The sequence below is a fragment of the Homo sapiens genome, chromosome 5, assembly GCF_000001405.40.
Source record: "Homo sapiens chromosome 5, GRCh38.p14 Primary Assembly".
NCBI classification, from domain to species: Eukaryota; Metazoa; Chordata; class Mammalia; order Primates; family Hominidae; genus Homo; species Homo sapiens.
Genome location: NC_000005.10, coordinates 16,165,550 through 16,190,029, shown reverse-complemented (window position 1 = coordinate 16,190,029; position 24,480 = coordinate 16,165,550). Strand labels below are relative to the sequence as shown.

The 24,480-nt window shown below is 41.8% G+C and overlaps 1 protein-coding gene and 2 long non-coding RNA genes across 4 annotated transcripts in view; 2 read left to right on the top strand and 1 right to left on the bottom strand.

Moving 5' to 3' along the window:
• Nucleotides 1-2,968: 2,968 nt before the first annotated feature.
• MARCHF11-DT (MARCHF11 divergent transcript) lies at nucleotides 2,969-9,789 on the bottom strand. The gene is made up of 2 exons (NR_149044.1): nucleotides 9,590-9,789; nucleotides 2,969-6,307 (listed from the first exon to the last, which is right to left on the bottom strand). It is a non-coding gene; the product is annotated as an MARCHF11 divergent transcript (long non-coding RNA).
• LOC105379640 (uncharacterized) lies at nucleotides 9,226-10,085 on the top strand. Its single transcript, XR_001742613.2, has 3 exons — nucleotides 9,226-9,385; nucleotides 9,531-9,604; nucleotides 9,951-10,085. It is a non-coding gene; the product is annotated as an uncharacterized LOC105379640 (long non-coding RNA).
• Nucleotides 10,086-10,238: 153 nt separating this feature from the next.
• Nucleotides 10,239-24,480, top strand: part of MARCHF11 (membrane associated ring-CH-type finger 11) — a 112,653-nt gene continuing 98,411 nt past the window's right edge. For both annotated transcript variants that reach the window (XM_047417230.1, NM_001102562.3), the window contains exons 1-2: nucleotides 10,239-10,991; nucleotides 12,149-12,304. In XM_047417230.1, the coding sequence (XP_047273186.1) occupies nucleotides 10,455-10,991; nucleotides 12,149-12,304 (693 nt within the window). In that variant the 5' untranslated portion in view covers nucleotides 10,239-10,454. The remainder of the gene's footprint in view (nucleotides 10,992-12,148; nucleotides 12,305-24,480) is intronic.

The following is a 24,480-nucleotide window of genomic DNA, read 5'->3' as shown; positions in this document are numbered from 1 at the left end:
GGTAATACAGACTGATGGGGTTCAGGATACCCTACCCCAAACTATGGCACCTTGGCATTTCAGAAAACAGCAGAAGCAGGAAGGTCTCTGTCCTTCTCCCAACCTTCTCCCCAGAAGCAGCCCATAAAATAATTCTTCAGTTTCCTCTAAAGAAGGTCATAAGACTCTCATGTGAGAAGTGCTCTCCCTACACCCAGATGAAAGGAGCAGCCTTATCTCTCTTTTATATATATATAATACTTTAAGTTCTAGGGTACATGTGCACAACGTGCAGGTTTGTTACACATGTATACATGTGCCATGTTGGTGTGCTTCACCCATTAACTCGTCATTTGCATTAGGTATATCTCCTAATGCTATCCCTCCCCCCTCCCCCCACCCCACGAGAGGCCCTGGTGTGTGATGTTCCCCTTCCCGTGTCCAAGTGTTCTCATTGTTCAATTCCCACCTATGAGTGAGAACATGCGGTGTTTGGTTTTTTGTCCTTGTGATAGTTTGCTCAGAATGATGGTTTCCAGCTTCATCCATGTCCCTACAAAGGACACGAACTCATCCTTTTTTATGGCTGCATAGTATTCCATGGTGTATATGTGCCACATTTTCTTAATCCAGTCTATCACTGATGGATATTTGGGTTGGTTCCAAGTCTTTTGTTTCTTGTGGCACTATTCACAGGAGTAGCCTTATCTCTGAAGACACAGGAAGGCAGAGGAGTATCTAAAGAAACAGGCCTTGCTAAATTCCCTGAGTCTATTAACATTAGATCTACGCACTTTGTCCAATCATACTTCTCCACAACTATCCACCTCTTCATCCAACCTAAGCATAAAACACAGTTTCCCATGTTTCTTTAGGCCTTTATTCTAAAGGTTCCCATGCCATGTAAAGCTTATATTAAATACATTTGTGTGTTTTTCTCTTGTTAGCCTGTCTTTTGTTATAGGGGTCTTGGCCATAAACTTAGTCATGGGTGAGAAAGAAACCCTATTTTCCCCTACAAGACCCCATATCAACTTGTCTATCTTCTAGAAAATTATTATTATTTTTTTTGTAAATGTAGCTGGCACGTAAGGCAAAAAAATGCCTGCAGAGTTCTAGGTATGGATTGTGATGAACACATTCATGTTTCACTTCCCCTGAACACTAGGGCAGGGTTGGTGAGTGGTTTACACCCTGGATGAAGACGTGGACAGGCCTCACAGTTTCTCTGCTTGTTTTCAGGTAATTGCCCTACAGTTATTTTTATTTGCACTGTCTTAGTTCAGGAAAATTCGAATGAGTATATAGAATTTAAATGAATATATAGTATATAGAATTCAAATTCAAATGAGTATATACAAAATTCAAACCCATTTACCCAAGCTGTCCTCTACCCTCTTGAGTGGGTACACTGCCAGAAGGAAGTTTGCATGTGGAAGGGGAGGTGGGGTCCGCTGCATTCAGCTCTCTCCCTGCTCCCCTCTTCACCCAAGACCCAGCTCTCTCATGACCCAGACAGTGCCCTGACTCAAAGTGGGAGAGAAGAGAGAAGAGGTGAGGATAGACAGCAGCTCTCACTTGTTTTATGAGTTTGTCCTTCTAGGCCTGATGTGTGCTTAGAGCTGGGGGTACCCTAGTGTGACTCATCTAAGCTGACTCCTTCCTACTTTTTTGAGTTCTCTGGAGGTTCTCTGCTTGGCTGATTGCTCCCTTGAATTTTAGGTTGGACAGTTCCTAATGATTCTCTTCTTAGCTTGTGGCCACTGGGCAGTCCATGTCCACATTTTTTTTTTTTTTTGTGAGACAGAGTCTCGCTCTGTCGCCCAGGCTGGAGTGCAGTGGTATGATCTCAGCTCACTGCAACCTCCAGCTCCTGGGTTCAAGCGATTCTCCTGCCTCAGCCTCCTGAGGAGCTGGGACTACAGGCGTGCGCCATGACGCCAGCTAATTTTTGTTTTTTTTTTAGTAGAGACAGGGTTTCACCATGTTGGCCAGGCTGGTCTTGAACGCCTGTCCTCAAGTGATCCACCCGCCTCAGCCTCCCAAAGTGCTGGGATTACAGGCGTGAGCTACCACGTCCCCTCCATGTCTACATTCTTACTGTTGGAGTTTACTTGCTCTAACAAAGGACCCAGCTGGGCGGCAGCCAAGAGGACACCCTACTGACTCACTCTCCTGCATGGCTCATGTTTGAGTGATGATCAATAGTCAGGATCCTTTGATGTGCAAACCGAAAGGGGAGGCAGATACAAGACGGCAGCAGGCTCTCGCCTCTAGCACCAATGCCTGTGGCCCTCAGGATTTCCCGGGCAGGAGTAGACCCAGTTCACCATCTACCTCACATCTGTCAAGTGTCAGTCAGTCACCAGCTAGCCCTTTGTGTGTCCAAATTGCCAAGAGGCTCCCTGAATGGAGGGGGTCCCCACAAAGCTCCACTGGTAAGGTTTGGGGCGAGAAAAGCAGCTTTCCTCCAAAGCAGGGAGAAGAGCAGATGCATATCCATGATTCCCTCCACACACATTTATTCAGAATCTGCTGTGTCTAGACGATCCTGGTTGCAGGTGCTGGGAATACAAACCCCTGCCTCTCGATGGCTTCGTTTCTAGTGCCAACATCTCTGTATAAAGAAACCTTTCCTTCAATCCTGCCTTTCTAATGATGGGGGAGTGAATTCCAGGGTTGCAGCATCAAGTCTAGGTGTGCGATTTGGTAAATTCTGCATATGGGAGTGGTCATTGGCTTCACCCACACTCCAGAATCCAGGCGATCATATTGGGACTCAGGTGGAAAATGAGGGAGGGTGAGCCCCACTGTAACACTTTCAACCTAAAAAATGGCTCTAGTGCTGGAAACGTAGTTCTCATGGAAGGCAAATACAAAGAAGCTTCAGGAGGTGCCTAGGAACCTAGACTCTAGGTGCTCCTCATACGCCAGTCACTCACGCAGGGAGGGCCTGGATATAGCATTACAGAAATACACTGCAGGATTTAAAAAGAAATGTTTTATTGTGGTAAAATATACATAACATGAAAATGACCATTGTAACTATTTTAAGTGTACAACTTAGTGGCATTACATACATTCACAACGTTGTGCAACCACTAAGATTTTTTTGTAAACCGGGGAAGCTACACTGACGTTCTCAACCCCTTTTAGCAGCAGTGAGTCGCATAGGTTTCTTTTTTTGGTCTTCTATGAATAATATAACACTGGAGGTATATGACAGAGTGGATAGGGCATGGGCTTGGGAGCCAGCCTGCCAGAGTGTGCAGGCAGCCTCTGTCATTTACCGGCTGCCTGCCTGGGCACAGCACATTGTCTGGGCCTCACTGTCCTCCTTGGTATAGGGAACATAATAGTGCCTGCTTCACAGCACTGTGGTGAGGATTAAATTCACATGTGTGAAACGCTTGGAACAGTGCCTGACCTAGTAAATGATCAATCAATTTTAGTTTTCATTGGTGAGTGCAAAAGAAGTGTTCGTGTAGTGGGAAGCTCATTCATTTTTAATATAAATCTTCTTTAAAAGTGTTACAATCACTTCATTTTCCTTTGTCCATTATATAAACCCTTTTTGAATACCCATTATGTGCCAAGGCATTTGAACTAAGCACTGGGGACAAACTATAAATGTTACATGAATATAAATGACTTGCCCTCAAGTGACTTACGGTCAGCTGGAGGAGGGTGGTGAGGGTGCATGCTCACAGGGGCACTGCAAGGCCTAACAGGTGCACCCACCAAAGCTTGGAGGTGGAAGGAGGGGAGTATGGTATGAGAAGACTTTTTAATCTGGTTATTTTACATGGTAAAAATCTGCAATTAACCATACTGAAAGGGAATCTTCTGAATAAGCCTCTCATCATCCTTTACTGTTTAATCAACAAGGTCTAAACTTTTCTTGGAGACTCACATGCTTGATGAATATCAGGATACAAAGCAAAATAACACCTCCAGTGGCTACTCAGCTGTGTATAGAGCTGTTTCTTCTTAAATGAATGCTTCCTGCTGAGGTTTAAAACTATTGGTTCTGCTTTCTTTGGGGTCAGGGCAGGAATATTAGCTGTTATTTCATAATGCTGCTACTCTGCTTACATTTCCAGATTTGTTATTTGCCATTTGCTGTGGACAGGAAGATCAGGTGAGCATATTTATTAGGATTATATTTAAAGTCAGATATAAGCATATCTAGCAGTCTCACTGGAGAGGAAAGTGGAAGCATTAGTAACTGGATTTTTATGTGATTGTGTGGGGTGGGCTGTGGTGGTCTTTTAGAGGCCGATTTGCTTATTTCTTGGTACTTCGGTGGCTCTCGGTTGCATTTGATGGAATAGTGACTTCTTGGTAATTATATGGAAGGAATTCTTCCCGCAGTGATGCTTTTCCAGCAAAAGGTGCTTGTCTTCTATTATTTCAATATGTGGTAGGTTTGTCCTACTTATCACTTATACTTTTCTGTCACTTCTTTTTTTTTTTTTTTCTTTGACACAGGGTCTCACTCTGTCACTCAGGCTGGAGTGCAGTGGTACAATCACAGCTCACTGAACACTCAACCTCCTGGGCTCAAGTCATCCTCCCACCTCAGCACCCCTAAGTAGCTGGGACCACAGGGGTGTGTCACCACCCGTGGATAACTTTTGTAGTTTTTGTAGAGATGGGGTCACTTTAACAACTACAGCAGTTTCTCTGTCTCTTTGATTTTGTTAGTTGCTGATATGAAGCACACCTGACATACTCCTATTTAGCCTTCAAATCCCAGCTCAAATGACCCACTCCGAGGAACTTTCTTATAAAACATCATCTTTCTTCTGCAGAACTCTTAGATCTCTGTACTTGTATAATACTTTTAATCCTCCAACTAGAACTCAAGCTATGTGACATGTTTATGTCTATGTCTCTGTCTTCTTAGTTGTGCCATGAGTTTTCTGAGGTCAGGTACAACCATGTATCACTCCAAGTGTATTATTAAACATTTGTCACTTTCTAATTGTTAATTGTACAAATGAATGGTAGTTTTGTTTTTGGATTTTCTTTCCTGATGACACCCATCATTAGTGAGATTTCCCCCATCCACCTGCCCACTCACACACACATATACGCCAGCACATTGGGCTCATGTCCAAAATATCAAATATTGTTTTTCTTTGATTGTATTAACTTGTGCCCACTTATTCAAAACTTCCTGCATTTAAGAAGTCTTGTCTGTGGCTATAGTTTATAACTCTTGGTTTTGCATTTCAGTAAATATTCACTATCTTTTGGGGCACAGTTTCATGTTATTAGCTTAGCTAGGGGTGGGGTGGCAGGTTTAGGAGTTCAGCTGGACAAGAAGAAGGTGATGACAAATATAGTCAATTGTGGCGGCTAGAGGTCAAATTCCAAGATGTGGGGATACTTGTGTCTCTTTTTATCTGTCAAGCAGTCATTCCCCTGGAAATAGAATTTCTCTTCCTTCAAGGAATTACTATTTACTCACATCAGCTATGTCATTTTGTTGAAGGGATTTTCAGCGACTGCTCAGCAGCTCATGGTCCAGGCTGGAGCAACCATGATCCTTTTCTGGGATGTTTTAAAGTCTGGAAAAAGGGTGGGTTGGGAGTGGTGTGTGAGGCTGGTGGTTTGCCGTAAACTTGGAGCTGCCTCCTCTTCTTATCTGAAGGAAGATTCTTCTAAGGTCAGGGGCCCAAGAAAGAGGCAGGGACCCTATAGCAGCCAGGATTCAGGCCAGCAACCCAACACTTTCCACAGAAAGATTTGTTTCAGTCTAACAAGTTCTCTGTCTAGAAAACCAATCCTCTGCTCTCCACCCAAACTTCCTGGAAACATAGTGACCTTTAAGTTGTTATTTGTATAGAATTCATTGATAACTTTAAAAAGGTAAGTAATCATTCTTTTGAATTTTCTCATTTAATCCACATTTACTGAGTTCTCGCTGATGTCAGCCATCATGTTAACTAAATGCTTTAGAGAAAAGGGTCACTGAAACAGACAGACTCAAACCAAGTGACTTACTGTCTAGCACAAGGGGATAAACCCAGATCTGTGCATGCCTAACACCACAACACAAGGCATAACGTAATAATATTTACGTTATGTTTAATTTGTGAGTTTGGTAGATGGATGATTTTCAGCTGAGGAAGATCAGGGTTGGCTGTATTTGAGATTCTTCTAAAGTGTGGGTGGCTCCATCAGGTCAGGTTGCTTCACCTGCATTCCAGATGTCAGGCAGGTGTAGGATATCCTGTGCACACAGCCATTCAACATGTTTTAATGCCTTCACATCGCTTATGTTGAAAGCACTTGTTTCCAAGGTTCAAGGCAGAGACGACTAAGGGAAGAAAACAATGCTTGGTCATTACTTTAAAAAAATGCAATATGATCCTCTACAAATCAAACATGCTCTTAATATACTATTTTATTGTTGTGAAGGTCTTAAAACATTTTGTGGGAGGTTGAAATAAGTATTTTTGGTAGGACTTAGCGAGTATTGAATGGTATTTGTATCTAGAATTTAGGTATTAGTGAGCTTTCAGAGAAGATACTAGGTTCTCAGAGAAAAGCCAGGTTAATATAAGTTGGTGAGGACCAAGGCACCCAATAAGGAAGGAGAGAGGACTGGCCGGCTGACTTAGATTTGGAAGCCCATATGAGTGGAAGAACCAGCAGTTACCAAAAACAATGAGAGAATCAGGAGGCAAAGCTAGAAAGATTGGCAGAAAAATGGTACCAAACTTAAGGGTAGAATTGACAAATGCTGGAATTTCTGACATGTCTTTGGTGAACATGAAATCAAGGTGATCCAAGACATCGACCTCACTTACACAGGGCAACAAATGACTAATTAACACCATTAGGTGAGCAAAATACACACAATATATCCATATATAATGTCGAGCAGTAAGGTGAGATGAAAAAGAGTAAAACTGGGAAAATGAGAGTGGAAAATTCTATATCAGATGGAAAATTTATGGAAGGTCTTTTTTTTTTTTTTTTGAAATGAGGTCTTGCTCTTGTCACCCAGGCTGGAGTGCAATGGTGCAATCTCTGCTCACTGCAAGCTCCATCTCCCAGGTTCAAGTGATTCTCCCACCTCAGCCTCCCTAGTAGCTGGGATTACAGGTGCCCACCACCACACCCGGCTGATTTTTTGTATTTTTAGTAGAGACAGGGTTTCACAATGTTGGCCCATGTTGGCCAGGATGGTCTGGAACTCCTGACCTCAGGTGATCCACCCACCTCGGCCTCTCAATGTGCTGGGATTACAGGCGTGAGCCACCGCACCTGGCCGGAAGGTGTTTTTTATGAAATGCAGAAATCTGCGTGAAGTGAGGGAGTGAGCCATAATAATTGAAGATGGGTAGAGGGGATGTACTTGGTATACAGCAAGGATGCCAGTGTAGCAGAAATGAGTAGCAAGGAGGGTAGGGTAGGCTGGTGGGGAGGGTATGGAGAGGTCTTTAGAGAGGCAGCCAGAGGCTACAATGAGGACTTGCAGAGGCTGCTAAAATTTTTGGTATTACACTAAGTGTGATGAGAAGCCATTGGCGGGTACTGAGTAGAGGGATGACATGACTAGACTTAACACCTGAATGGGATCATCCTGGCTGGTGTAGGGTGTAAGCTCAAGAATGAGAAGCAGGGAGACAGGAAGTTGTTTTGACAGTTTCGTGCATTATAATGGTGGTTTGAATTGGGTTGGTGGGGATGGAGGTGAAAAGGTGTAGTGAAATTTGGTGAATATTTTGAAAGTCCATTTGAAAGAAATTTTTGTATACTGAATGTATGATATGAAGTCAAGGATGACACTTAGGATTTTGGCTTAAACAACTAAATGAATGAACAACTGGTTTACTGGCATCATGAAGATTTGATCATCCTTTCAATATTTGCTCAAATTTGATAAACCTGCATTTCCCCTCATTCATTTTCAGTTGGCAGATGCGCCTTGCTACTGATGGCTGTCAGTGGCCACCGGCGCACTGCTCTATCTGATGTCTGTGTCTCCATCTCTCTTCCACTTGGTTGCCAGCAGCTGAGAGGAATTCATCCTTTCTGCATTCCATTATTTTATAATTTTATGACAGAGGATGTAGCCAAAGTTAGAAAGAAGGTGTTTTTCCTGGACCCACTGAAAATGCATTGGGTTAACTGAAGATCACGAGCAAGTTTCCCTTCAGGGACTGGTCAGCTTTGGAGGTCATTGAAACCGGGAAGGAATCTTACGTGGCTACCCAATTTAGCAAGCAAATGTATTTTTTTTTTTATTTTTCAGAAACAATTAACTGAGAGGACACATCTAGCCTTGTGGCCCTTTTCTCCTTTATCCATGCCGCTTCGCTGTCTGAATTATTCTACACCGTTTATACAAAACCCATAGCTTTTATGCTGTCCTTCGAGTACCGATGCACTTTATCACACCTGGTAGAAATTTACTAGTCATAAATGGAATTATTTAGGGGATTCTGTACAAATCTAGACAGTCTTTAACTCGAGAACTTATGAAGAAGGTTTATGATGATCATAAGGCTTATGATTATCTTGACTGTGGCAATACACAAACTTGCGTTGTCATTCTGACAGGTGAAGACCAAAAATGAAAGCATATCGACAACCACATTTCTTCAACGTGGTAAGTTCCTGGAGATTGTTGTTTTAAAAATGTGCTTGCTGCCTGCCACTCTGCCACCAAAAATAGCCAGTCTGAAGGGGCTAAGTGTTAGAGGACATTCCTGGAAACTAGTTCATCAGAGACCATTTGTGACAAAACATTCTTGAATTATTTTTCACTACCTTCTCTCTCTGGCAAATGGAACCAATTTCTGTCAAAAGAGGTAGGTCTTCTTTATGAATCAAATATACTTCTTACTGCCAAAACGTGAAATGGAAAAACGAACTTAAGCTAGTAGTTTATCTCAGCCATTACAGAGTATCTATTAGTGGGAATCAATGGCGCCAAACACACAATGTACTACAATACTATTTTAGGAGGCAGAAGAAAGGATTGGAAGAAAAAATTATTGGCATTTGAACCAGAAAATCTGGTCAGGGAACACAGAAGTTCTTTGTTAATAGTTCTATAACCTTGAACAAGTTATTTTGCCTTTCTGATCCTGGGTCTTCGGCTATGAAACGCTGCCAAAAATGACTGCTCTGTGTCTTTGTGTCAAAGACTGAAAGCGTCACATCAGTGAAAATTCGGATAGACACACTGCCGCATATAAATCCGGTGCTTTATGATCTCACACTGCACGGATTTGGAAACTACTGCATGTGCACGATTCTCAGCCTAGTTCCCTGCAGGTGAGGGATTTTTTTTTTTTTCCAGAAAGAAAACTGTTAGCTCTGCCCTGAAGATGAGTCCCACAGAGGTTTTGCAGGGTGGAGTTACCGAGAAATTGACTTCGGGGTGAGTAAAACTAAGATCCGGGGAAGGCTGCAGCCACTTTTCCAGGGTAAGGGGCGGTGTCATTTGCTTCCTCATGCGGCAACGACGAAAGTGATTATAAGCCACAGAACGTGGCGCCAGGGTTCACTAGTATAAACCATTTCAGGAGACGAAGCTCCGACCTCCCAGGCACCAAGATCTTTACCAACAACCCGGGATGCTCACTGCAGGAGGGAGCGGGTGAGGAGGACACAGGGATTCGAGGGCGGGACAGACAGGGAGAGGACACAGGTTCCAGAGACTTCTGTTTTAAGGCTCTCGAGGATCCCTGAGAGTGCCCTTGAGGGCTCCAAGCGCGGGGAGCGAGGGCCTGGAAGTGGCGGTTACAGTCCCGGGTCCCGCGCCCTTTCCCGCTCCACTGCTCAGCCAGTTCGGGCGCGCCCAGGGCACCCGCCTCGCGCACCCTTAAGCCCACGCGGGTCTCGGCTCAGACTGTCGCGCCCCACCCGGCCCGCGCCACATCCCACCGGCCCATCCAGTAACGGTTTCTGGACCCGCGGCCTCTCCCCTGCCCCCTACTTCCCAGCTCACGAGAGCCGCAGCGCTGCGCCGTTTGGAGAGGGGTCATCCGCCCCGGAACCGACGTGAGCGCGGGGCCGGCCCGTGGAGGCGGCTGAGGGATCCCCCACTTCCAGCCCGCCCGCTCGGAGCCGAACCCCGAACTCCGTCCCACTGATCCGCGCCCCCAGCCCACCCCGCGCCCGCGCCCCGTCACCCCCGCCGCGCCGCTCCTCCCTCCCGCCCCCTCGCTTCTCCGGCCCCCCCTTCCGCGGCGCGGCTCTCACGCGCAGCCGAATTCGGCGCCGCCTCCATCAGAGCCGAGCCGGCGGCTCCACCGAACGGCCGCGCCTGCCGCCGCCGCAGCTGCAGAACCTTCCGCATCCCCTCCCCGTCCCGCCCCCTAGCCCCAGGCGTCCGGGCCCCCTCCCTCCTTTTCCCCTCTCCCTCCCGCCCCCTCCGCGCTCTCTTTCCCTGCAGCCAGAGCCCGGCCCGCCAGCCGGGCCGGCAGGAGGGCGGCGGCGGCACAACCATGAGCTTTGAGGGCGGCCACGGCGGCAGTCGGTGTCGCGGGGCGGAGAGCGGGGACGCCGAGCCTCCCCCGCAACCTCCCCCGCCGCCGCCGCCGACGCCGCCGCCGGGAGAGCCGGCCCCGGTCCCCGCGGCCCCGCGCTACCTGCCGCCGCTGCCCGCGTCCCCCGAGACCCCCGAGCGCGCCGCGGGGCCAAGCGAGCCGCTAGGGGAGGTGGCCCCGCGGTGCAGGGGAGCGGACGAGCTGCCGCCTCCGCCCCTGCCCCTGCAGCCCGCCGGCCAGGAAGTGGCGGCGGCCGGCGACTCCGGGGAAGGTCCGAGGCGCCTCCCGGAGGCGGCAGCAGCGAAAGGCGGCCCCGGGGAGTCTGAGGCCGGCGCGGGCGGCGAGCGCGAGCGGCGGGGCGCCGGAGACCAGCCCGAGACGCGCTCGGTGTGCAGCAGCCGCAGCAGCAGCAGTGGCGGCGGCGACCAGCGCGCTGGGCACCAGCACCAGCACCACCAGCCCATCTGCAAGATCTGCTTCCAGGGCGCGGAGCAGGTAAGGCCCGGCGAGACCCCGAGGCAGCCGGTGGCGGCTCCAGCTCGCGCCGGTCAAGCTTTCAGCACCACGGACAGCGCACGCCTACCTCCCAGTTTGCCTCCAGTGAGGCTCGTCTGGTTCTGCCCTGTGAGCGCTGGCTCCAATATGCCTTCCCCTTTCCCTTCCTGTGAAGGCAAATAGAAATGTCCCAGTGGTGAATACTGGGTTTAATTTCATCTACACTTCCTTTTTCCTTCCTGGCTTAGGAGCTACATGTTCCTCAGGTGCTTTAGTGATAATGCCAAAAGCGGCTTTTGTGAATTATTCGATGGATTTTGGTTTATGCTTAGAAGCAAACCTGTCAGATGTAAGGTGAAGTCCGTTTTCTACAGATGTATCTTGAGACAGATGTCATATCACAACCAGAAAGGGCAGAGTCTTTCCTTACTGCAAATTTGGGTGACTTAATCTCACGGATGTGAAAAGCATGTGATAGTTTTTACAAGAGAAATAGGAATGGACTTTGAAAGAAAGGCTATTATGCCAACAATTTATATTTTGACAGCAACACAATTCTAAAATTATAAACACCATTGTAGGTGCATGCAAACTTATATGAGAGTAATCATGCAGAGGAAATGATAGCATATGTCCCTTACAAATGTGTGGTCTGAGAAAAGATTAGGTGTAATGTTTTTAAAAGTAAGGAAATTGCATAAGAATATACAGGCTTTCAGGAATATAGTGCCCTAAGACAATATTTATGATGCTACATTTAGAAAAAAAAGCATAATGCCGCTTTCTGGGATGCCATGCGTTTCTTCTTTAGCAATGATTAAGAATAACTGCAGAGGAAATGCATCTGACCATCCACTTAAAAGTTATTAAAGAGATTTAATAGTACAGCTTTCCCCCACGGGTATTGGGAGCTATATCTTGCAGACATTTTGTATGTTGGTAGAACATTTATGTCATAACTCTAAGCAATGTCTTTGAAATAGTTTTAAGACTTAGTTTCATTCCCATCAGAGGTATAAAATTTTAATTTCATTTCCTATGATAGAGCCTGATGCTGTATCCTGAGTAAATGGCTTTGAAAGAAAAGAAAGGAAGCATTAGGTTTTTAAAATAGAGACACAGACACAGATATTCACACTGAGCTGTTTTCTTTTTAGGGTGAGTTGTTGAACCCCTGCCGATGTGATGGGTCAGTTCGGTATACACATCAGCTGTGCCTGCTAAAATGGATCAGTGAGAGAGGTTCCTGGACCTGTGAACTTTGCTGTTATAGATACCATGTTATAGCCATTAAAATGAAACAACCTTGCCAGGTAAGCAGTTTCAACATTTATTTTTCCTGAAATAATTTTGTTAACATGAATGCACTTAAGCTTAGTTATTACTAAGGATATTTACTTATGCTACTTAAAAACATTTTGTGAAAATTACACTAAAACCAAGATTTAGAATTTGTAAACATGTGTTTTTGAGAAAGCCATGACATTTTATCTGAGAAACTCAAAAGACATTTTAATCGAATGGTTTCCTTTATTAATTTTTTACTTATTGATAAAATGATACCAGTCTTTTTTCTAAAAAGGCAAGTTGGTAAAATGACTTGTACCACACTTAAATCAATTTTATTCATTAGAAATGTTACACAATTGATTTTATTAATATTTTGTTAACTTAAGCATTTAAGCTCTAATGGGCTCCATTTATGGAGAACAGATACAAGTAAAACAAAACTTCACTGGTATGAAAACTTTGGTTGAACCTATTAGTTCTAATCTGAATGTTATTTCCACTTAACCAGGCTTTCTTTATCATGTGATGTTCTTTTGCAGTTAAATTTTGGCTGATTTTCTTCTTTGCTGTGTTCAACTACATAGTGGATGCAGAAGTATTCCCAACAGTTACTCTCAATAATACTACTGAACTAGTATTCTTACATATTCTTAAACTTTTTGTGTATAATCACATAATAACATAATACACATAAATCTACAAATGCCCTGGAAAATAGGCCTAAAATTTATCGTGAAACAGATTCAGGTTCTTTGAACAGACAGGTAGAATATAAAATATTAAGAATGACATCTTAAGGAAAAGCAGAATAATGTGTAATTAATGTTATCTGGTAGGCTGAAGTTAAGTAGACATAAAAGAATAGGGTTCAAAACAGAGACAAAGGAGTAATAGAAATAAAAAGAATAGGGAATTGCAAAGTTGGGAGGGGGAAAAGTAATAAATTCTCGTGTTCCTTGTTGCTATCTAAATCACCCAATTTAGTTTTTATTCAGCAATGTAATATAGGTGGAACTACCAGTGTTTGCAGAAGGAACCTGCAAGCTGAATTACTAGTGCATTAATAATTTAAATTTCATAGTTTAAAATTTTTGTATCCTTTATATAGTTTGCAATTAATTTGCATATCTGATAGTCTCCATTTAATGCATGATTAGCAACCACAAAATGAAAATATGTATTTCTCAAGCTGACCTAGGGCTTGTGAATAATTGGAAAGAGAAAGCATAAATAATATGGATGAGTGATATTATCATGCTGAAGACAGGCACAAACCTGACACCTTTTCCAAGAACCTCTGATTGAACTACTTGGGTATCAATTTATGAATCCATCATAGTTGTCTTGAAAAACAGATGAAACCATTTTCAAAGACTAGCATATAGGTAGTATAATTGGATCTACAACAGTTTTATCAGTAGAAGTATGTGGGAAAATAAGAAATGAGAGAGTTTTGGGCTCTAGAGAAAAGTTCCATGAGAAGAGCTATGGTCAGACACTCATTGGCTGAAACAGAAGACTATTTCAAGAGCTTGAACTTATGGCAACTATATGTTAATTCATTTAGGATGATTAATTTTGAAGTAAATAGAGATAAGTACTTGATGGACATTTTAAAATAGGAGATCAAGAGCTGGGGCAAAAAAAAAAAATACTATTTACTAATTTTAATCCTATAGCAAAAAGAATTGGTTACTACTGTCTCTTGCTTCATTTAAAAAAGATTCAATAGTTATTTTTAAAAAGTAACTCCCAAACTGTGCATATGATTTTCCTTTTCCCCAAAAAGAACTAAAACCCAAAAACTAATCTGGTACTATTAGCATATTTAGGATTAATTTTATTATGACATCTGTAAATACTACTATTATCTGTAACCTGATCTGATTGTTGTAGTGACCTACCAAATCATACGTAGAAACAAAGTTGATATGAATGTGATGATGATAGCTCAGAACATGCTGGAGATGAAATAACTTTCCAGGACTACGTCAGATGCACATGTATCTGTGTGAGGCCAATCCCTTGTGAATAGGTGGTTTCTTGGATGTAGAACAGAACAGAGAACAAATATTAATATTCACAAATACTTTGCCACGCACTGTTCTAAATGCTTTGTATATATGGATACTGATATTTAATCTTCATGACAAATCTATGAGGTGAGGAATATTTCTATTTTACTCAAAGGGAAACTGAGGCACAGTAAAGTTAAGTAACTTCTACTAGGTACCTATCTAGTAAAAGGCAAAGCCAAGATTCAGACTTAGTCAGTCTGGCCCAGGGTCCACTGTCTTAGCCGCCCTGTTGGAAAGTGTGCTTCTCAATCCCATCCTAGCCACCTTCATGTTTCTGGATCTGTCAGGACTTGTCCTGGAAAAGGCTGTAGCAAGCAGGAAATAGTTTCAGCCTGGATCTCTAAGATGGTTTGGGAAGGTTTTGACTGTCTACTGTTGCATAATAAACCACCTCAATACTTAGTGCTTTAAACAACAACTGTCATTTATGATCTGTTAAGAGTCAATGGGTTGATGGAGGTCAGCTGAGATGTCTTTCTCTGCATGCAACATCACCTGAAGCTATCATCATCCAGAGGCTTAACCAGATTGGAACATCCAAGAAGGCTTGCTCATTTGACCTGGTTTTGGTGCTGGCTGTTGGCTGGAAGCTCAGTTGGGGCTGCCACCTGGTGTGTCAGTTCTCCCTCCATGTGGCTGCTGCTTTTCACTGTGATAGCTGGGTTCCAAGACCATGAAAGTGAAAATTACAAATCTCTTAAGGCATAGCCTTGGAAGTGACGTGGTTCACCATCTACTGCATTCTTTTGTGTAAAGCTAGACAGAGGCCCAACTCAGATTCAAGAGAAGGGGAAATAGACTCCACTTCTGGAGTCTGGCCCTTCTTTTAAAGAGAGTGGCCATCTTTATCCCCCATAGGAGTTAGCTTCCAAAATGGCCATGCCTTCCTGACCTGGTCTCTGCATTTGGTCCTCATAAAGTCCGGGTAGATCAGCACATATCACCATAACTTCCCTTCCAGCACTCTGAACTAAAGGAGCTTAAAACCATGTATGCAAGAACTCACCAGTGATGCTTGATGTATATCCTCAAGCACTTTCACAAGCAAGTATTACCGTGTTGTATTTCCTTGTGCTCAGAGGAAGATGAGGACAGAGAAGGGCAAAGAGCAGTTATCAGGAAGCAGGTGTGTGTGAGGAAAACACGCTGCAGTGAGCCTAACACCTTAGTTTCACTTGTTTTTCTCATTGAGATTTGAATTCTTTGAGAATTGGAGTCTAACCTCCCAATTTCATTGGATTTCAGTGATGCTCGGCAGCATGACCCAATAGAAAGCTAGCAGATGTATCCTGTACAACGTAGTTAAACCTTAATTGCCGTATCATTAGCAGTAGGAGTTAATTAAGACATTTGAGGTAATTAAAATGCATTTACCTTCCTATCTACTGGCAGAATCTATTTTATTTATTAACATATCCAAGATGATGCATTAAGGACAATTTGAGAGTAAAGCCTAGTTCTGTTTTGAATCTGACCTAAAATTAGTGAAATGCGTGGACATATAAGATCAATTTTACTTTGAGATGTTGGGAGCATTATACATTAATTAAGCCATATTCCAGTTTATGAATGGCTTCAGTATTTTTTCCAGAGGCATGATGGATCTTTGAAGAGATAACATTTATGGGATAAAGTACTGTATGTGAAATTTTAAACTTTCTATAAAAGACAGACTGTACTGCCTAAACAAAGAAAAAGCTATGTAAATGGAAGGTAATATCTGTTATTTTAGACAAGCTACTTAAACTCTTTGCATCTCCATTGACTCATCTTCAAAAAGGAGATGACAATGCTACCTGTCTTATACCTTATTTTGAGAATTAGACACATAAATATGTGTGAAATGCTTAGAATGACACCTGGCCCATAGCAGGTGCCATTTAAATGCTGGCTCTGGATATTATGATCTGTTAAGTCAGCTAAGGGATGGGACCTTCACTTGCTCACTGCCACAGGTCCTTCTTGTTTATTTCTCATTGTGTCACCAAAGTGAAGTTCATGGCTTCTCTTTCCATATCCTTCTTTACTCTTGGATTTTTATTCCCTGCTTTTTCTGGGATCCCACCTCAGTTTCTGAGCAAATCAGTTGACATCCATGATGAATGAATCAGCATTTTTAAAAGCAGGTGTAATGAGATATAATGATCTCAGTGCAGTGAGCATATTTACTCTCCAGATGTCCCTCACTGTAGGTCTTATTTATGTCCTTATTGGAGTCTACTCATAATTGGAGCAATGAGATGCTCTTAAATGTGGCCAAGCACAGGACAGCACTATTCAAGGTCAGGCAGCCATACTTTGTTTATGCTTTAGAACAGCCCCTGTCAGGTGGGTGCATGTAACCTGTGAGTAGGCAGGAGGCCAGAGAAGTCTGAGATTTCTGGGGGACAGTCACAGAAGGGGTAATGGCTGAGCATCAGTCAAAGGGAGTCAAAAGGAATCATGATGTTCACCAACTTTCCTTCTTCCTCCTTTGTTGCTTGGAGCACCGAAGGCCTGCCTTGCCTACTTGGGAAGGGTTAGAAACTTGCATGTGGTCCATAGACCTTTTCAGGGATTAGGCTTTGGCCTTTGTTATTGGCCTATACTGTTTTTTATTAGCCTTTCCCTTACTCGTTTTCCTTTAAACTCTTCTAATGTGCTGTCAGCAGCAGATCTTCTTATAGCAGTAAGAATGACTGGGAAATCTCTTAGCAAGAAGGACTTGAGATTATTTTTGATTTTTATCCATGTTCTTAAAACCCTGGGATTCATCATAATGGATTTGAATCAGAGGGGAATTAGATAGCAGGTGGGTTTATTTGGCTGTCCTTCTTAGGTACAGCTTCCAGACCTTCTTGTAAGACATACATACATAGAACTTTAATTAACTTTCTGAGGAACCCATGGTCATTACTTTTCTAAATGGGGCTCCATCATGAAAGGGGCATTTCCACCTTCAGAACTGATTGTTAGTAGGATGTAGCTGATGCACTAGGAGGAGCTGAAAAATTACCATTGAAAACTGACTTTGGTTTTGAAAATGTATCAAGAAAACATCAGAGCATGAACTGTATTGGCATTGCATGCTGTCATTTGAAATCATTCAAGACATTTGCATTTCATGGCTTAAAAATGTCTGCATATGTCCAGCCTGTGACACGGTGAGCCACCCCTTTGACTTTTTCTCTAAGTGCTGCTCTTACTTCCATTCTTTGCAGATTTAATAGCAAATGACAAGCTGAGGGGAGACGTGTTTTATTACCGTGGCTGAATAACTAAAAAACAATGCTGAGATATATTTAAATGTCTATCCTGGCATATTTTGTAGGTAACTAAAAATGTCAAAATGAGCGGCACATCACGAGGCAATTTTCTCACCTTAGGAGTTAATTTTGTTTCATTTGCTTACTAATTTTCAAAACATAAGAATCCGTATTTTACTCACTAGGAGAAATGAATGATTTTCTGCTGAATAAAATATGTAAATTTTACTTTGTATACTACTATAACCATCTTATTTACTGTACAGACTACATGTACAGTGATTTTACAATTTCTCCTAAGCCAGATGGTTCTGAAACACTGGTAAAAGGAGCCAAAGGTCATTTAGGGCATTGTGCCATGGTATTTGCTTTTAAACTATTTAGAACGAGGCTTGGGGACAACATGTACCCTATAGGTGATACCCTTCAGGACTTTCTTCTCTACATACCTTCGACTTTTCTACATTTTCCAGCCCTTTTAAGTGCATTTCCCTTTGGACACCTTCCTCTTCTGTGCTTTGTTTGCCCCTCCACACAGCTTCCTGTAGAAGAAAGAACATCCTAGGCAGAAATGGGTCGACTTATGGGTTAAAGCAAGTCAGGATGACAAGAAGATTTGGCAGTTGTTGGGTAGAGGAGCCTTGTCATGGCTCCAAACTGTCTTCACTTGATAACATTTGTATTACTATTTAAATTAGTGGTTAGAAGGCTTTTCCTCTACAGGGTCAGACAGGAAATATTTTAGGCTAGGAGGGCCATTATAAGCTCCTGTCCTAGCATGAAAGCTACCACAGACACTGTATAAATAAATGAGCATAGCTGTGTTCCAGTAAAACTTTACTTATAGCGACTGAAATTTGAATTTCATATCATCTTAATGTGTCAGGAAATAGTATTCTTTTTTTAAACAATGTTTCCCCTGCCATGTAAAAATGTAAAAACTCATGGACCACACAAAAACAGGTAGCGAGCTGGGTTCACTCAGCTGCATTTGGTAGTAATTTAAACATATGGAGTATTGATTTGGACTTAGGTTTTTACAACCTCTTAGAAAATTCAATGGGTGGGATGTTTCTAAATTTCTATGTTTCTTTGTAATTTTGAATGAACTTATTATAAACTTACATTATTTAGAAAACGGTGGCAACTTAGCTCCATGGGGTTGGGGGAGGGGGGAGGGATAGCATTGGGAGATATACCTAATGCTAGATGAAGAGTTAGTGGGTGCAGCGCACCAGCATGGCACATGTATACATATGTAACTAACCTGCACAATGTGCACATGTACCCTAAAACTTAAAGTATAATAATAAATAAATAAATAAATAAAAGAAATGCTATTAACTTTTCCGTATTAAATATTAAAACCATTGCTTCTTTGAAACAGTTTCTTGGTCGTATCAGATTCAAATCCTTAATTCTGAGGAGTCGCTTTGGTTAAGTCAGGAGTGGAAAGCAGGGGCATCTCAGAATAAGTGTCCTTGGAAGAGGCCACTGTCCTCTCTGTGAGTCCTGGAATACATTTCAAAGAATGGTCTTACCCCACCCCAGGCTGTCTGCAGTGCAGTAAATATCCTTGGAATATTCCCTTCTGAATGTCTTGAAATGAGATTATTTTAATTTGCTTAGAGTTTCTGGGCTTGTATTCTGAGGGACAAGCATAGCAATGAGCGGGACAGGTTTTAGAGCACATTATATAACACAGCTCAATATTGCTGACATTCATTTTCTTGGTCACTTTGTGGGCATTCGGTGAATATTTATGGTATGAATTAATAGATGCATACCTGAGTGTTTTTGTAAGGTGGCAAGAACCATGGAGGTTATATTATTTCTGAGTGAGAGTATGATTTAGGGAAAACAAATCGCATTCATTACTCATACATTAGCCATCTAATAGTTGTTAATTTTCAACTTGTATCTCAAGTTGATCTTCCAATAATGCTATTCTCAAGTTGCCTGGGCAAGTATGTTCAGTTCTTCAGACCATAGAAAAAAAGCCTTGATAGTAACACGGGATCTATTTTTTAAAACCCAGAATTTTTTTTTATAAAAGCTTCCAGTGAGACATATCTGCTCTTTTCAAAAAATAAAATGTCATGAAAAAAGTCTGTGAATGTGGAATTACCCATGTGTGACACCCTCACTTTCTTGAGATTGTCACTGTTTGAAGGGTTTCTTCTAGCATTTGTTCAGGGAATTTGAATAATTTGTTGGAAATTTTACTGTATGATCATGGATATAGATGAGCTGCTAAGAGCGTCTACTGGATATAAATTTTTGGTGTGAAATCTGCCACCTGGCTGAAAACTAGGTGACTTTTTTGATGAGCAGTTTGCACGGTTGTAACATAACTTCAAAAATGATTTTCCACCGGTGAATACAATACTCAAACCCAGGGAGATGTAGCCAGACAACAGGCTATTTCCTCCTCACTAATTTCCTGCGTTGCCTTGGCATGTAGCTGTGCTGTGATGTGACTGATGTTTTGCTAAAGGGATTGGTATAAAGGAAACTCGGCTTCTTTCTATTTTGGGACCTTCTGAGAGTAGAATGGGATGACTCTGAGGGCAAAATGAGAGTACTTCCGACCCTTCAGAATAGCAGGGAATGGACTGATGAGTAGATAATCACCTGCAATTACAAGTAAATGGATGGCAGACACAGAGGAGTTGGCCAAGAAAAACTGCACTGTGGTTTGTGCTTTCTGTATCCTTGGATATCTGACAACATCTTCCCTGTGAGAATAACTCATAATTCAAAAGCTGTTCCACATGATTTAGCCAAGTGAATTTGATGTAAGAAGAGGTGGACTGGAACCTGTTATATGATAAGACATGACAGGAACCCAGAAACATTTCTATATCAGCAAAGTCAATAAGGGAACTTATTGAGGACACATTTCTTATTCCATCCTTCCCTTAGGAGTGGAATGCTTTGAAAACTACCATCTAAAAAGATGCTTTCTCTCTAGTTTTTACCTCTTTGAGTTGGTTCATTTTTATTGATGACACCTGTACAATGGATGTCCCTTCCTTATAACGATAGAGTTCCATTGTTGCCTTAGTGTGCCTTTTAGTTTTTCTTCTCTTTTCGGTATACTGATTTGGTGCAGGTGGCCAAGTGCTTAATTTGGGCATGGGGTGTCGGGGGTGAGGAGGATGTCGCCCATAAGTATCCAGCCCTTATTCCAGGAACCCTCCTGGCACTCCTTTGTTTGATATGGTCTTGTGATTGTCCAAGATTTCATCTCCTTACTCCATTTGTGTCATGACTCTGAGCTATAGAATCATTCAAATGAATGAAGAATTGTTTCAGAACACTTACACGGGCTTGCCTTGGTTTGTTCAACCTGTTAGAAAAGATTTTAAGAAGGAAGCATCTTTCACACAATGTGAGGGGATTTTTCTTATATTCTTACTAACCAATCTTCCAAAGCCTGCAGGAAATAATTTGGCCCTGTTCTCTTTCCCCCAACTCTCTCCCTAGTATTAACTTGTTTCCTATGTTATATTTGTAGATTTTTTAAAAAACATAAATATGTATACAAGTGCCCTATTTTTTTTAAATAGAGGAAATAAAAATCTTAGAGTAGTCAAGAACAGAGGATTTGCCAGGCCTGTATTGAGCATTCAGTAAATATCTGTCTTATCCTTCTTCCATCTCTTTCTTCCTTTTTCTATCATCATCTGACTCTCATCTTTTGTGTGGGAATGAGTAGGTGGGAGGTTTCCAGTGAGACCTCCAGCCCCATGGAAAGAAGGAGAAGGGCACAGTGAATAGGGTGGAAGTCTTTGCCTGCATGGCATTCTCTGGACCAACCATGCCACGCTTTCTTCCCCTGGAAGCAGAAAGAAATTTTGAATGCAAAACCACCTTTCCGTCTCCTCCTAAACAGTCTTTGCTTTCACAGTGGTCTCTCTCAGTCATACTACCATCGCTTCTATTAAATTCATTTTCAAATCTGGACAAGGTTTTCAGCAATTTGAGAAGTAATTGAAAGACATTAAAACATGCGAAGCCAACAAGATTACAACTAACTGTGCCAGAATTTTTTGGGTAGCTGTGGGTGACATGGTTCCTAAGCTATGGGGTGAAAGACGCTTTGATATTGGAAAAATTTTGATTTGGTGAAACATATAAGGATGGGTGATGAATCTCCCTGCCTCCTGTCTACTTGCTGCCCTCAACCTGAATACTACTAAGACTGAAACTCATATTTGTTACCGAAAAGAAAACTTGAAAGAGAAATATGCTTCTTTATTTTGGACATGATAAAGCTCTACCACAGTAAGCTTCAGGTAAAAACACCAACCATCCCTTGAATTGCCTGTGGGGAGAATTCCAGTATGAAGTGATGATGGATGCATGATTATTCATATAATGTGACACAGTGACAGATCGGTGTGTGTTTATTTTTTGGTCTGGAAGATGATTTTACTCATGTTCTACAGGTAGCCTCAAAGTATTCTTTGTTGTTTTCTAGTATGTTACTCATAGTAGAAATTGTTACTTTTTAATTGATAATTGGTACTTTCTCATTCTTTTTTCATTTATTCAACACGTTAACCACTACTACATAGCAGACACTGTTCTAGGCCGAAGAGTTACAGAGTTGGTAAAACAAGCAGGGCCTCTGCTTCTAGAACTTAAATTATCAATAGTAAGGAACGGAAGAAAAGCAAGTGAGCAAATAAATACAAAAAGTAGTTAATTATAGATTGCGTTAATGATGCTAATGGAAATAAACTGGGTGTGAGAGTTAATTTTATGTATCATGGGGAGCCCAGGTATTTGGTCAGACAATATTCTGGGTATGTCTGTGAAAGTGTTTCTGGGCAGATGAACACTGGAGTTGGTAGACCGATAAAGCACACTCGAAAGCAGATGGCCTCCCTCATGTGGGAGAGCTGCAGCCAGTCAGTTCAAAGCCTGACTAGAACAAAAAGGCTGACCTTCCCTTGACTGAGAGAGAACTCAGCTTACCTGTTTTCATGCTGGAACATCATTATTTTCTTTGGACTTCAGCTGAAACACTGGATCTTTCTGGGTCTGGAATGTATCAGCCTTTGGACTGGTAGGCTTTCAGATCTGTGCTTTCAGCTCTCTTGATTCTCATGCCTTTGGACTTGAACTGGAACCACAATCTTGGCTCTTTTGAGTGTCCAGCTTGCTGATTGCAGATCTTGGGACTTGTCAGCTTCCACAGTTGTGTGAGCCAATTCCTTATAATTACTCTCTTACACACACACACACACACACACACACGTGTGTATACAGACAGTTCCCAACTTACAATGGTTTGACTTATAATTTTTCAATTTCATGATGGTGTGAAAGTGATATGCATTCAGTATGCTCCTCAGCTTACAATGGGGTAATGTTGGGACATAAGTAAATGAACATCGTTGTATGTTCATAAGTAAATGAACATCGTTGTATGTTCATAAGTAAATGAACATCGTTGTACGTTCCTCACACTCATATGTATACATACACACATATGTACACACACACACACACACACACACACATCCTGTTGGTTTTGTTTCTCTGGTGAAACCTGACAAATATACTGGATGATTAAAAAGAGTATGCTAAAATGGATCATGTGATACTTGATTAGAGTGGGGTACATTCTTATAAACTCATGCTTTGCTTAAGCATAAGTTTATATAAACTATACATTTGTAACTATTTCTATATTGATGATACATTTGTAATCATTTCTATATTTCATAGATATGTAACCATTTCTATATAAATGATTACATATAGAAATACATTTAATCGTATAGAAATTTACATATCTATGAAATATATATAAATGTTACATATAGAAATTTCTATATGTATTTGTAAATGTTTCTGTATGTAACCATTTCTGTGTTGATAGAAATGGTTTATATAGTTTATATAAACTCAGGCTTAAGCAAAGCATGAGTTTATATCAATGTACTCTAATCAAGTATCACATGATCCATTTTATCTCTATTGATAGACATGGTTAAATATAGAAATATTTACACATATGTGCTTATGCTTTGATTAGTTTACATATATATGTTTTCTAGCTCTTGTCTGTTGAGGGGGTTCAGTATTAGTGGCACCTGAGTGAGAATAAGCTCACCTGGCACCAGACCTCAGTTTCTAACATCATTCTCCAATTAAAAAAATAGTCACATGCAATATGAGACTGGAGCTCCTTGTAGTGCCAGATTGTAAAGAAGTGCTCAAAAAACAAAAGGATTGGGTATAAGTCATCAAAGGGACACAAGAGCCAACCTGGAAGAACCGCCAGTGACTAAAGCTGGAAATATTTGAGCAACAATTTAGCTTGGATTGTATCTTGAACTATAATATAAAAATCTGTAGGTGAACACCAATATAAATAAATCATCAAACAAATAAGTAAATGGGAGAGAAAAGACAAGTCTCCCTTACAGAATTCCAAATAATTGCACTGGTGGTTCAATGGTAGAATTCTCGCCTCCCAAATAATTTATGTATATAATCTCCCCTCCAGGAGGTAGAGCTCAATTCCCCCATCTTTGTAGTTAGTGACTTGCTTCCAAAGAGTAGATTGGTAATAGAGTGGAAAGGATGAGGAAATACCTTTACAATCGAGAAGGCTAGCAAATTCTATGTAGCCAGGCAATCAAGTTTAACATTATCAGTGATAACTGATAGCATTATCACTGATAAGTCATGTTGATAGCATCTGCCCCTGATATGATGTGATGAGATTATTTCACCTGTGGTCTTCCTCTCTAAAACCCGTAACTATAGTCTAACCGTGAGAAAAACATCAGACAAAACCAAATTGGGGACAATTTACAAAATAACTTGAGGAGTACTTCTCAAAGCTGAAGAATA